The sequence below is a fragment of the Homo sapiens genome, chromosome 12 (assembly GCF_000001405.40).
Source record: "Homo sapiens chromosome 12, GRCh38.p14 Primary Assembly".
In the NCBI taxonomy this organism is placed as follows: Eukaryota; Metazoa; Chordata; class Mammalia; order Primates; family Hominidae; genus Homo; species Homo sapiens.
In genome coordinates, this window is record NC_000012.12 from 51,779,573 (window position 1) to 51,794,653 (window position 15,081).

At 41.9% G+C, this 15,081-nt stretch overlaps 1 protein-coding gene across 4 annotated transcripts in view; it reads left to right on the plus strand.

Annotated features, from left to right (window-relative positions):
• Positions 1–15,081, plus strand: part of SCN8A (sodium voltage-gated channel alpha subunit 8) — a 221,632-nt gene that overhangs the window by 188,340 nt on the left and 18,211 nt on the right. For 2 of the 4 annotated variants that reach the window (NM_014191.4, NM_001330260.2), the window contains exons 21-26: positions 1,077–1,199; positions 6,970–7,254; positions 9,123–9,176; positions 9,709–9,846; positions 10,826–10,930; positions 14,799–15,069. In NM_014191.4, the coding sequence (NP_055006.1) occupies positions 1,077–1,199; positions 6,970–7,254; positions 9,123–9,176; positions 9,709–9,846; positions 10,826–10,930; positions 14,799–15,069 (976 nt within the window). The remainder of the gene's footprint in view (positions 1–1,076; positions 1,200–6,969; positions 7,255–9,122; positions 9,177–9,708; positions 9,847–10,825; positions 10,931–14,798; positions 15,070–15,081) is intronic. The other 2 variants (NM_001177984.3, NM_001369788.1) reach the window with 1 other exon arrangement.

A 15,081-nucleotide genomic window follows, 5' to 3' on the forward strand; every position in this document is an offset into this window, starting at 1 on the left:
TGTCTGTGGAAGAAAAAGCATTGGCCTGGGAGTCAGGCAGTGGAGGTCTTTAATCTTGGCTGCAGAACTGCCAGTGTAACCCTGGGCAAATTCTTGTGTACGGGTCTCAATTTCCTCATCTATCAAATTTTGTTTTCCAATAATTCTTCCAACTGTTATTCTAATGATAAAAGTTATAGAAGATTGACATGGAAATGACAGACCTGAGGATAATTCATTTTGGACTGTTCTGGAAGGAAAGAATGAGAATTATAAGGAAAAGTGTGGATTCAGTTGTCCAGACTCACCCAAGTTCTTGTGGCCATGGAGGGGTCCTGGTTGTAGTTAAAAGTCAGAAGGTTATTTTAGTTAAAAGTGAGAGATAGAAGGATGTATTTAAAAGATAGAGATAGAACTCACTTAAGCGAGTTCTCATGGAGCCACAGTTCTTGGGAACTGCAAGTCAGCCATGGTACTTATTGAACGTTTTCATTGTTGTTAATGTCGTGACGCATCAGATTCTCAAACAAATGGTTTTTTGTCAACCAGGAGTAAAAGAGCTTGTCCCTCTTGGAAAGCCAATGGTGAATGAGCTGAGGAGGGGGCAGCTTGTGTGGAGTATGTGTATTTATCTGTATTCTTTTCCATAGGTACCATTAAATTTGTCTGGCTTAATTTAATGGGGACTTCTGGGACCTGCAGAGACTGTAAAGGGCGAGGGTAAGGCTCTTGTCGTCTGTTCAGGCTCCTCTCCTTCCAGTGGAACTTCCTCACTCTCTCCCTCTCCTGTCAGCCTCTCCCCTTTTCCAACTTGTGTGTATGTTCTACCGCCTTCTCGATTTTCTCTTCCCTGTTGTTTTTTCTTCTGCCTCTCAACCACCTTTCCTTCCAGGTCATTTGAGTCAAGTTGAAATAGGCAGCTGGTGTTACCCACTTCCTCTACCTGGGGGGCCCAATCTGTGTCTGCAGTGCTAGGGGCTTTATTCTAACACTCTGGAACCTCTGTTTTCTTTCTTTTTTTTTTTTTTTTTTTTTTTTTTTTTTTTTTTTTTTGGTTACCTTTTTTGTTTTTGTTTTTCTCTTCTGTTTCTGTGTAGGTCTCTTTAGTCAGCCTTATAGCTAATGCCCTGGGCTACTCGGAACTAGGTGCCATAAAGTCCCTTAGGACCCTAAGAGCTTTGAGACCCTTAAGAGCCTTATCACGATTTGAAGGGATGAGGGTAAGATACTAAGAGCAGCTGATCCTTCTGCATGCCAGTGGAAACTGTTTAAGCATGCTAGAACTGATCACATGGTGGAAAGATCATTCAAACACGAATTCTGTGATGCAGCTGCTGATTTGATCCTCCACTCTCTCCCCCACACCTGCCCCGTGCAAAGGGGAATTGCGTTAAGCTGCCTCATCACATTAATATTGGCCCCACCCCCAACAACATGCCATCGCAGAACATGTTAACATTGGCTATTCTCATTTGGCCTGGCTTACCTGTAGCACTCGGGGCGGCTTTCTGGGCTGTTGATTTAATAGGGAGAATCACCAGGTGCAAAGAAGGGGAATTGTAACCCACAGACCCACTGAAAAGCACAAGCTTCAGGCAGGGAGAGTGCTGTGTAGGGGCATCAGCCAGGTGGGGACTGTGGCCTTGGGGTCACTGAGAAAGCAGCTGAGAATGGGCTTGAAGATATGACGGCAGGCCTGGAATTGGGGATGGAGCAGAATTTGGCATGGCCCTGGGAGAAGAAATGCTTTTCTTTCTATTCAGATTCCTCTTATTGCACCTTGTTGTTCTCAGCCCAGTCCCAAATGGACTGGCAGCCTCTGTCTGATAGCAAAGCTTTTTTCCTCACCCCCAACCCCTCTGCCCATGCTGTATGGTCCCCTAACACTGTCAAAATGACAACCAGGTATGATGCTAGATGACTGAATATCAGCTAGTTCTCCTGAAATTTCTTGATACCTCCTATTCCTGCTTTGGTGATACTCCACCCAAAACAATACAAGGTGTTGTCACCCTACCAACTTAGAAACAAGGTGCCTTCTTGGTGCCATTTTCTTGTCTCTTTTGGTTTAAACAATTGTGCGTGTGCGTGCGTGCACGCGCACGCACGCGCACACACACACACTAAAAAGTCAATTTCTTAAAATCAAAGGGGCAACTGGCTTTGGTGGTAATAGTTGTCCTGTGGTGATCAGAGAGAGGTCTGTTATACTTAACGAGACCAAGAAAACTCGCTTCAATTCAGATGTTGAATACATGCAGGAGAGCAAACCAGAGGATATATTTTTAAATGTGCAAACGTCAGAATGTAAGAATAAAAATTAAACTGTTACGATAGTCTACGTGAAGCAAGACCGATTGGAAAAACTAGATACCAGGACAGTGCTGCTACGTTCATTCCTCATCTGTGATCCCTGGCTGTTACTCCGTGAAGCCACCCACAGTTGTATAGGAAGATGAAAACTTAATTGGGACTTGGGAATTTTATTATGTTAATTTATCCAGACAAATGCTTTTTGCAACAAATTCATGTTTCTTCTGTAGCACAGTCACAGTTTGGTGTACTAAATGTAAGCTTTCTGCAACTCTCCTGAAACCATCTGCAGGAAGGGCAGTTCCACAGTAGTGTAAATTTATTTTAATTTTTCAAAAAACTTGGGATTTTAAGACTTTGTCCCACAGATAAGAGAGGTTTTAGAATGTGCGCAATAAGGTCATTGCTATGCTCAGGCTAAATTTAGGAAGAGAGTTTATTACACAAGATTCAGTGGTTTAGACAGCCACGGTGAGATTGAAAATGTGGTTAAAATGTTCTTCTCTGCTCCCTGCACCTTTGCATGTTTTCCAGAGGGAGCTAATAAAATGTTTTAATAAACTATACTGGTTTTGTTATAAAGTTGATAATCCACTTTGGTGACTGAAAAACTGAGGACAAGATGCAACCAAAAAAGTCCACTGAAGACAGTACTTGTCCTGAGCTCCTCCGCATCCCCTTACGGTGATCCCTGATCTTCCAAAAAGAGATTGGTAATACCTGAAGAAATCCCCCCATCCCCCTACAAAAGAAATGCCCATCTGACCCATCTGACGCTTGTTACTAACTATTTCCATCTAGATGCTCATTACTGTCACTCCTGTCCAGGCAGACAGAAGCAGTCCTCATGGCCGCTGAGGCCAGTTTGCTCATGAGGCAGTTATTTGAATAACCTGGATGCAGGAGCCGTTTTGGGAGCCACACCTCTTCCCTTTAGCTGCCCCTTCTTTCTGTACCTTTCCTGGACCCTCAGTTTCCAGTCCCCTAAAAACTTTCATTTGTCAACTTGAAAGTAGTTTAGGAGCTTGGAGGTCCCGAATGAATAATCAAAACAGTAGATAATTTTATTTGAAAAGCATTACGATGTTTTATTTGAAAAGCGTCTACATCAAGATTTTTTTCGGTAAGATAATATGGTCAAGAACAAGTTTGAACCCAAAGCTGGAATTTAAAACAATAAATGCATTAAGGGAAGCTTTGGAATAAGAGTGCCACCTCATTTGATTGACTCCAGCCAACTAACAGACAGTATTGACCATGGCTGGTTGGACAGGTGAAAAGGGATCAGGGATCCATTCCTGCCCTGTGGGTTTCCTAGCCCTTCTGTGGGAGAGTAACTGCAAGAAGAAAAGATTGGATTTGGCTAAGCGTATAGTAAGTCCCCCAGTAATAAACAGAATTAGGTACACATGTTTTATTTAAATGTTGTTTTTCTATGGGGCATTTTTTTTTTATTCTTTGGTTTTGGTTCTTCTATATGCCAACACTTGAGAGATTACCTTTAGAATATTTTAAATAAGAAATCTTCATAAACTGAACACCATCCATGCAGATGGGCTCAACTGTCACTGTGCTGCTCCAATTACAGACTCAGAGCTTCGCTTGAGAGGGAGCATATGACCCAAGCCTGTCCTGGGGCACTGACTTCAGTCTCCTCTTCTTCCTCAAACCAAAGACCAGGAAAACTGAAGCACTTGTGCTATAGGCAAAGGAATACTTAATGTAGTTCTTTGCTTTTCTCTCCTCCATAGTAATCTTCATTTAAAGATTTCGCTGTGCTGTTAAATTTTTGAGGGTATATAATATTAGTGCCATGAAACATGCATGCATTTTTGTTGATTGTCAGTACATAGTTGTCCATTAAAGCCATGTTCCCTCTGCCAGATATTAAAAGCCAGCTGACAGATTTTATAGTATTTATTGAGCAACAATAATGTCCGAGACATTATAGAGAAGACAAAAATACTGTAAGAATTAATATCCATTGGAATTTTCTCATCAATTAAATGGGATTTGTATCAATTGCCAAGTATAAACTTCCATTGATAAAAGTAACTTTTTATAGATTACTAAAACCTAGCTTTGAGTGATATTTCCATGTCTAGTTCTTAACAATAATAGATTTCATGATAATTAAAGGCAATGTAGAGTAACTAGAGAACTTGAGAAGAGAGGATCAAATTCATTAAGTGACTACCAGTGGAAATTTGAATTATCATTTATAATATATCTTTAGTGTGAGAGTTCAAAATAAGAAATATGATCTCTTGCCCAGTGGTTGCTGAGAATAACAGCACAATGATCATTACATATGGAGCACAGTTAAATAGTTTCTGCTTAACATATTGCAGCTTATCAGCTAATGTTCAAAGCAAGGAAGAATTATTAGTACGTTTAATCAACTCTGGGCTGGGCATGGTGTCTTATGCCTGTAATCCCAGAACTTTTGGAGGCCGGGATGGGTGGATCACTTTGAGGTCAGGAGTTTGAGACCAACCTGGCCAACATGGCAGAACTCCACCTCTACTAAAAATACAAAAATTAGCTGGGCACGGTAGCACGCACCTGTAGTCCCAGTTACTCGGGAGGCTGAGGCAGGAGAATCGCTTGAACCTGAGAAGGGCCTCCCCTTCTCAGTGAGCCAAGATTGCACCACTGCACTCCAGCCTGGTCGACAGAGTGAGACCCTTTCTCAAAAAAAGTAAATAAAAAGTTTTCCTCTGGTTATGATTAAAGTACATTTGCATCTTATAAAACTTTGGATTTTATAGGATTTTATATCATATCAGAGAAAAAGGCTCTGAATATTTTTGTATATTGATTCATTTGATCAAATGGATCAATATGTAAAATTTTCTATATACTTTATGAGAATAAAAGTTCAAAGAGATCACGTTAATGTTTCTTCCCTATGGTAAATATTAACCCATATTTAACTGTAACCCATAGTATGTGGGACAGGTTAGACTGGGTTTGAGTAGAAGCATAGTCAGAAGAGTTCCTGGAGGAAGTAGGTTCTGAATTGAGATTAAAAAGCAGCATGCCTTGGTTTCAAGTCTTTGGGGCCTACTTCCTGTGCCACATTTGTAATGGTCTAACAGAAAGTCACGATCTCCCACCTAAGGTCTGCTGTGAAATGCTGTCACATAGACTTGAGCTTTTGAATCTTTACCTAATCTACTCCCGTATTGTTTGAGAAATTATTTTTCCATTTGTGGATCATCCTCCTTTTGCCTGTTCTTTTGCACATTTCATTGCTTTTTGGTGCTCCCGCCAAAGGGTGAGCAACTGTAGAATGAGGAGGTAAATTCAAATCTGGGTACATGACAAATTTGGTAACATAAATAAATATGAATATCATTCTCCAAAAAAAGTGAAGATTTTCCAGATTTCAGATATCCTGGCTTTCCTTGCTCAACTTAATAAACAAAGTAATAAACACTTTAATGACAGAGCTGTCAGATCTAGAAGAGATTTCTTGGTCTAAGAATTAAGAAATAACTGCCTCTCAGTCTAAAGGCCCTAATATATGAATTGGAGAAACACAAAATGAATATTTTAATCTAAAAGGAAGAGTGACTCCTTAGCAGAAGAATATCATTGCATTTTTTACACAAGATAGAACAGGTAGCTCTGATCAGCCACATGTCCTGATGAGTGACAATGCAGTCTAAGGCAAAACCAGAAGATAAGGAAACCCTAAACTCTAAATTGTGTGCTGCTCTGACTGATACTGTAAAGCAAAATCAAAGTTGAAAACAACCCAGAAACTTTGATTCCTAAGGGGTTTTTTTCTTTTGCTTTTTTTTTATTCCTGAGCTTACTGTAGTCAGTGACTTTTTAACAATATGCCAATTTTTTTAGTTTCAAGAGCAGTAATGATCTAACCCAAAACTCTCTTAAAAACCTTAAGTCATCCCTATTTCTAATACACTGTGATGAGTGGAGTCAAGCCCTGGAATGAGCAGAGAGACGACAGCATTAGCCAAGCAGGGAGCGACTCTGATTTAAAAGCCTACAAAGTCAGAATAAAAAGGCTGGAGAAGTATAATGAACCTTGAGTGAAAGCACATCTGTTCAGATTTTATTTTATACTGTTTGGTAGAGGGAATATAGCTTTTTTTTTCTTGAGCCTGCAAAATATGCATGCTCAGCTATTGCCTGAAATAAAATAACTGGCCTTGCGTAGTCATAAAAGAGACATTATGTACTGTTAACTGGCTCTCTATTAACCACAACGGGTAGTTCTCTGTGATTTTGAACAATTATACCTTGTTTTTCAGAGGGGGAATGTCTGTTGAAAGGCAACTAGCAAGCTGAAAGTTACTCATATTTTCCCATTGGGCATATTTTATGAATTGAGGAAGAGGGAGACTGGACTAAGAAATAATTTTTCAGTCCCAGGCTGATGCATAGGAAAGAAGACCTAGGTCAGCTTGGCTGGGGAATTTGTGTTAGTCAAAATAAAGGTGTAACTTTTTAAAATTCCTTCAATATAGTCCTAGACTTAGAAATTTTTGGTCCTACTTGTCAGTCTGTCCAGTTACTCTAATTCCAAAGGGAATGTAATGTTTCCATACAGAACAAGCCACACAATGTCATTCCCCTCCTGGAAATCAAAAAATGTGCTTGCTCTCATTTCCACCCAACACTGAGCAACCTCCCCTTCCAATGCAGGTGGTGGTGAATGCCTTGGTGGGCGCCATCCCCTCCATCATGAATGTGCTGCTGGTGTGTCTCATCTTCTGGCTGATTTTCAGCATCATGGGAGTTAACTTGTTTGCGGGAAAGTACCACTACTGCTTTAATGAGACTTCTGAAATCCGATTTGAAATTGAAGATGTCAACAATAAAACTGAATGTGAAAAGCTTATGGAGGGGAACAATACAGAGATCAGATGGAAGAACGTGAAGATCAACTTTGACAATGTTGGGGCAGGATACCTGGCCCTTCTTCAAGTAGTAAGTAGTGTTTTTGTTTTTGTTTTTTCAGTTCTGTGAAATTCAGGCAGCTAGCACAAATCCCATTTGGCTTCTTCTCAACCCTACTTCTAGAATCAGGATTATTCTCAATAAGTCCAAGAAAACAGTATTGTTCCCCAAACCAGTTTCAGAGAGATACCTTTCCTGAGTATTCTCTGACTTCTACAAGATCTCACTCAAAGGAAATCTCTCATTGTGCTCAGGAACAGAGCTGTGCCCAGCAACAAATAAAGATTCCTGCAGTGTAATAAAGTGGCAGAGAGATCATCTTCCCTTCCCGGTCAGAGAGTGCAGTTAAGGGCAAAAAAAATCAAGATAAGCACATAGACAAAAAAGTAATGGCAATTGTGATGGAGCAAAATAATAGTACATACTCACCACACTCCAGTTAACTTAGGAAAAAACCATGGCAGTGCCTTGGTGCCACACTCACCTCAGCTCCACCCCAGAGAAAGGTATCAGATTAATGTATCACAGTAAGGAAGGATTTAACTATCTAGATAATTTTCTTTTGCCTAATTTCATTCTTTCGTGCTTAGTTTTCACTGCCTCTCTCACCAGTGTTTCAGAATGTGTGACAAGACAACATAATGCAGTGAAAGCTCGTAGGCTTTGAAATTAGACTGTTATAGATTTGAACATACTCTGATACTTACTGGATATGTAACTTTGGACAAATTATTCAGCCTCTCTGATTCTCTGTTTCTTCATCTATTAAATATAGATAATGACACTTTGCATGGTTGTTAAGAGGATTTGTGATTTTTAAAAATTTCTTAGCACAATTCCCAGCATATAACCATGCTTAATTAATGAAAATTGCTATTAAGTATTTTTGTTACTATATTTCCATGCCTATATCATACAGTTCTTGGGAGACTAACTGCAATAACAGATGAAGCTCTCAACCTAACCTTACATATAGTAAGCACTCACTGTCAACTCATAGTAGAAGGCAAAGTTCATGGAATGAACTGTAGTTTTTCCTACCCCAAAGCTTTTTTGCTGTTGTATCCCAGTTCAAAAAATTGGACCCACAAATTGAATCCGCATTGGAGCATCTCCAGAAAACCAGTGCACATCCACAAGCCAGTCAAACATGGTAGTCACAGAGTCCCTGCCATATGCAAGATGCTGTGCTTGACAGTACAGTACTAGGGCCCTCAGATGAATAAAGACCTTCCTGTGCCCTGAAAAAACCTTAGAATCTGGTTGAGTACATAAAACACGGTGAATAGTACATGGATTATCCATATTTGTTTCCAAAATCAGTCTAGATATAGTAGACTGAAGGAGTAGAATTGGGAAGGGACTGTCAAGGATAAAGCTGGTATTGCTACTACATAGGCTATACATGTGTATATTAGTAAAGGGTAAGTCTGATCTTGTTTTTCTGTTAAATCCAACTATGAGTTTTTCCAACCCCCATCGCTTAACACCTTTTTTTTTTTTTTTTTTTTTGCTTACCACCTTTTTAAAAAATGATTCCTCAGTGGAATGGAATGCTAAGTTCCAAGCATTTTCAGTAGATTCCTGCCATTCACTCATAAAAGTTTTCCCTAACTTTAGGCAGGCTTCTCAGGCCCATGTTTTTGAGTCCTTTCGTAAAGCCTTAATCCCATTACCATTTTCAACATGTTTATTTGCCAAACTTTGTTGTTATTTTCAGGAACAAAGCCCTCCTGGGACCTGTAGTAACAAACAGAAAATTCTGTGTCCAAGGGAGGCTGCACCCAAACCCCTGTTCTGTGTTCTCACTGAACCTAAGCCTGGCCTTTGGGACCCCTGCCTAGACTCCCATCCACTCCCTTTATAGGCACCGTCTAATGACTGACTCTGTTTGCCAGGCAACCTTCAAAGGCTGGATGGACATCATGTATGCAGCTGTAGATTCCCGGAAGGTAAGGATGTACATGGCGAAAATACCACCTTCTCAGATGGCTGGAAAGCAAGCAGCATGGTATACCGAGCCCACCAAGAAAGAGGAAGGGATGAAGGAATGGAGGAGTTGACGTTTCTCTTTGGAACATTTATTGCTTGTGTTATTGATTATAGATCATTTTCCTCGTCTCAGTAAGTCATCACTCTCTTACATTGGCCCCCGATGATTAGACTGTTGATTTTTTACGTGGCCCCAGTGAAGCTGTCTATGCTTCAATCCTGCTTCATAGCAAAAGTATGGCTCCTAGCAGACAGCCCTCCCTCCCTGTGGCCTCATGATTTGCATGTTCTCCACATGAGTCAGAGGACGACTAGTGTCCTCTCAAGGCAGGCCATGCCAGTGTAGAGAAGGAGGCAGGCAGAAAGAATCTAGGGCTCTCCCACCCCAAGATGTTTAGCAGCTCAAATGGTCACAGTTACGGCTGATGGCCTTGGCGTGTCAAACTCCAAACTAGGAGCTGATTCTCTTCCTTTTATCCTGTCCTTTGACAGCCTGATGAGCAGCCTAAGTATGAGGACAATATCTACATGTACATCTATTTTGTCATCTTCATCATCTTCGGCTCCTTCTTCACCCTGAACCTGTTCATTGGTGTCATCATTGATAACTTCAATCAACAAAAGAAAAAGATAGGTCTCCTCCCCTCATTGCCAGTGGTTGGAAGTCAGCCCAGATAAGAGGCACCTTTGTCCCTATCTCTAGAAAGAAAATGTCCCTCTTTCTTTCTCTAAAATCTATATTGTTAGCTCACTGTGACCCTGGCCCCCATACGTTAGCCCCAACCCACTCTTTCTGTTCGGGGCTGGATTTTGCAGCATGTAGTTTACCACACTTACTAGCAGTCTTTTATTCTTGAGGCCTATTACTGGTCTTGGTCTCCCACCAGAAGCAGGTAGGTCAGAGAGTGCAGTCGAGCAACAGAGATGAAAAGGAAAGAAACAGATGAATAGCTATCGCAAGAAGTAGAAACTGTCTAGACTTGTGATTATCTAGTCAATCTCTGAGCACAAGCAAATTGGGATTTGAGAGACCCACCTTTGGAAAGTTTACTTCCTTACTTGTTCTAGATGGTTAACAAGTTTTACAAAGCAAATTGAAAAAATTGCTCGTTGCTCATTTTGTAAGTCAAGTCTATCCCAGCATACTCCAAGACACCCTCCAAATTGCTTTCTTGCACCAGAATTTCCAAATTTTGGGTATCATCTAAAATAAATTGGCTATCAGCCAGGACACAAAGATCTTTTTATTCTAAAATGTGTTTTCTAGAATGTATCAGGAAAGCTGGCCCCCAGAAAATGAGACTCTGAGATATGACTGCCTTCAGAGTCACTGCTCTCAAGTTTACCCTTTCTGAGGGTCTATAATTGGATAGTCCATTTCCTTTCTACCTTGGGACTGGAAGATCTTAGAAATCCTGAGCTAAAAACAAAGGCAGGTATCTCTTTAGAGCTGAATGATTATCGCGGGTCTACCCCACTCTGGGACAGCTATTAGCTACAAAGGAAAGGGATAGGTCTCCCCTCAGTTCTCAGTATTGAACCTTAGGTCCAAACCCATAGCATGTTGAGAGCCAGTTGTAATTGTCTGTTTTCTTCTTCCCTCCTTTACTTCGGAGGTCAGGACATCTTCATGACCGAAGAACAGAAGAAGTACTACAATGCCATGAAAAAGCTGGGCTCAAAGAAGCCACAGAAACCTATTCCCCGCCCCTTGGTAAGTGCATTGTGCAGGCTGAGGCCTTGGTGAGAACCCATATAGGAAAAGTACTAGTAGAGTTACTGCAAAGGAAGGAAAAAGGTAAGTGATTGGCTGCTTTGTGCCTAATCCTCTCCTCACCACCCATCCAAAAGATCTGAATAGGACAGCAGAAGAACAGGGATTAAGGCATGGGGGCTTTTACATCAATCCTCGACCTATCCTCTGAGCCTTCCTTGGGCAGCCACCAAGAATCAGCATGTGAACCACATTGGCTTTGGCCCTAGTAGAGAGATGTTTTTAGAGACAACCAAAAGTCAACAAGAGAAAATGAAATAAAGTTGCTCTCTTTCCTGCCAGTTCAAGATAGGATTTGGTCATAATTTTTTCAGCTTCTCTCTGCTCAATAAGGATGTCTTTGCAGGATGTATCTAGAAGTTAAAATCATGCTTCTGGTTATTTGTGGGAGCAGAAGAGGGTAAAACTATGGGAGTCTGGTGCCCTGATTGCCTCTCTTGAGCTGAGCCTTTTATAAAACAGATTAGGGGGCTGAGATTCTGCTCCATTGTTCCATTGGTGATGGTTGTCTTGTTTCAGAGAAGGAGAAGGAGATACCCTGCTCCTGATTCCATATATCCGGTTGGATGGGACATCACCCCCAAAAGCCAGGCCCAAAGTTCCTTCTTCTGTAACTTCCATTTAGCAACTTTAAAAAACAGACACAACACCACCAAAAAAACCCAGCAGAACCTTTAATACAAAAGCTTCCCTGATAATCTAATTTGTAGAAATAAAAGTAGAGTGACTATGTTTGAATCAAGAGTTATAGTTCCAGAACGTTTTCTCCCCTCACCCCCACACGCCGCACGTGGTACATCTACCGCATCAACTTTTGAAGGAAAAGAAATTCTAGGGCTTTGCAGGGCAGATTGAAAACCACCAAGTTAAAGTAATCCTGGAAATAAGCACCAGCCCAAGTATCTCAGTACTTCAAACAAACAAACAAACAAAAAAGCAAGGAATCTCAAGAAAGAGAACATTTGGGGTTTTTTATTTCCTTGATGTTAAGCCTTCATTTTGTGATAGAAATGGGACTAAAGGGAATAGAAAAGGGTTAACATTTCTAAAGTTCTGTTTAGTACTTTCCATATGGGAACCTGAGTGTATTTTCTTCCACATTAAAATATAACTTCCAGCCTAGGCAACATAATGAGACCCCATCTCTACAAAAAAATTTTGTAAAAAGTAGCTGGGCGTGGTTATGTGTACCTGTGGTCCTCACTACGTAGGAGGCTGAGGTAAGAGAATTGCTTGAGCTTGGAGGCCAAGACTGCAGTGAGCCATGACCGTGCCACTGTACTCCAGCTTGGGCAATAGGGAGGGACCCTGTCTCAAAAAATACAAAATAAAATAAAATATTTTAAAAAGTAGGAAACATTAATAAAGAGTGATTAACATTCATTTAGCAAATATTTATCAGTCTTTACTATGTACCGTGCACTAAGCATTATGTGATGAACAAAAGGTAGACTGCTGTCATGGAGCTTATAATAGTTGGGGAGATAGATAATAAATAAGTAAGCAAACAGCTACAATAAAATGTGGAAGATTGTAGGAAAAAAATTAACTAGAGGGCTATAAGTGGTGGATCTACTTTAATATAGTAGTCAGAGAAAGCCTCACTAAGGAGGGTCTACTTGAGTGGATGAGAAGGAACTGGCTGGGCACGGTAGCTCATACTGTAATCCCAACTTGGGATCTAGAGGCAGGCAGATCGCTTGAGCCTAGGAGTTCTAGACCAGCCTGGGCAACACAGTGAAACCCCATCTGTACAAAAAAAAAAAAAAAAATTAGCCGAGCCTGGTAGCATGCCTGTAGTCCCAGCTACTGAGAAGGCTGAGGTGAGAGGATGGCGTGAGTCCAGGAGTCAGGGCTGCAGAGGATATGGTAAGCTATATCATGCCACTGCACTCCAGCCTGGGGAAGACAGCGAGACCCTATCTCAAAAAAAAAAAAAAAAAAAAAAAAAGATGGAACCAAAGAGCTGGGGAAAGAGATTCCTGGCAGAATACACAAGACCCCAGAAGCAGAAAACAGTGTGGCCAGGGGGTGGCGAGCCAGAGGAGGGACATTGATGAGCAGAGTCAGACTGTGCCAGGTGTCTCCCCGTAAGCCAGGTTAACAAATAGGGATTGTGTTGCAAGCCCAGTGGGAAGCTCTTGAAAGGTTTTAAGTAGGGGAATGATGTGATCCATTTGTTTTTTGTTTTATGTTTTGAGACAGAGTCTCTCTCTGTTAACCAGGCTGGAGTGCAGTGGCGTGATCTCGGCCCACTGCAACCTCTGCCTCCCAGGTTCAAGCAATTCTCGTGCCTCAGCCTCCCGAGTAGCTGGGACCACAGGCGCCTGCCACCATGCCCGGCTAATTTTTGTATTTTTAGTAGAGACAAGGTTTCACCATGTTGACCAGGCTGGTCTTGAACTCCTGACCTCAAGTGATCAATTTTGGGAGGCCTCGGCCTCCCAAAGTGCTGGGATTACAGGCGTGAGCCACCGCACCTGGCCATGATCCATTTGTTTTAAATCATTACACTTGCTATTATATGAGGACTGCATTGGATGAGGGCAAGAGAAGAAGTGGGAGACCAGTTAAGTGGCCATACAAGTCCAGATGAGAGATGATGGTGGCTCAGGTTAGCATAGAGCCAATAAAAATGGAATGAAGTGGATGAACCCAAGTTATAATTTTGGAGGAAGAATCAACAGGCCCTTCAGTGGATCAGATGAGGGAGAAGAAAGAGACAAAGATGATGCCCAGATTCCTGGCTTGAGAGCCTGGATGAATAATTGAGATGAGAGGAACAAGCTGGGTGAGGGGCAGGGAACAGACTTGGCTCTGCTTTGGACTTAACTGTGAGAGGCTTGGACATGGTAAGTTTGAGATGCTTATGAGTCATCAAGAAGAAGTGGCAAGAAAGCAACTCAGGATCAGAGGAAAGGTATGGGCTGGAGAAGAAAAGCTTAAGCATAAGTACATAGGTATCACGTAAGCAGCAGGAATAGATGAGCTCTCATAGAGCAAAAATTTAGAGAAAGAAGGGATTGAGAGAAGAAATGGCTGGCAGATGAGACCAAAAAAGGAGCAGCTGGGTAAGTAGGACGACAGCCAGAGTGTGTGGTGTCACAGACGCAAAAGAGAAGTGGGTCAGCTGGGTATAGTGGTGCACACCTGTAGGCCCAGCTTATTGGGAGGCTCAGGCAGGAGGATCACCTGAGGCCAGGAGTTTGAATTGCTATGTGCTATGATCGCGCCTATGCATAGCCACTGCACTCCAGCCTGGGCAACACAGTAAGACCCGTCTCTAAAAACAGAAAGAAAGGCCAGGCATGATGGCTCACACCTGTAATCCTAGCATTTTGGGAGGCCAAGGAAGACAGATCACTTGAGGCCAGGAGTTCGAGACCAGCCTGGCCAATATAGCAAAACCCCGTCTATGCTAAAAATACAAAAAATTAGCCGGACGTGGTGGTGTGTGCCTGTAATCCCAGCTACTCGGGAGACTGAGGCATGAGAATTGTTTGAACCTAGGAGGCAGAGGCTGCAGTGAGTCAAGATCGCACCACTGCACTCCAGCCTGGGCAACAGAATGAGACTGTGTCTCAAGAAAAACAAACAGAAAACAGAGAGAAGCTGGTAACTTTGGAAAGCTCTTGGTGAGGTAATATTGATGTTGGTCTCCATCCATGCTCCTGATAGAGCAGCAGAGCTGACCAGTATTACAGAAAAGGAGGGAGAGGGTACCTCGATTAGCAGGGTGACAGCTTCCATAGGTTGGCTTGGAAAGGTTTTCATGAATCTTTTATCTTTTCCTTCCCTTCCTCCCCAGAACAAAATCCAAGGAATCGTCTTTGATTTTGTCACTCAGCAAGCCTTTGACATTGTTATCATGATGCTCATCTGCCTTAACATGGTGACAATGATGGTGGAGACAGACACTCAAAGCAAGCAGATGGAGAACATCCTCTACTGGATTAACCTGGTGTTTGTTATCTTCTTCACCTGTGAGTGTGTGCTCAAAATGTTTGCGTTGAGGCACTACTACTTCACCATTGGCTGGAACATCTTCGACTTCGTGGTAGTCATCCTCTCCATTGTGGGTGAGTGGGGTT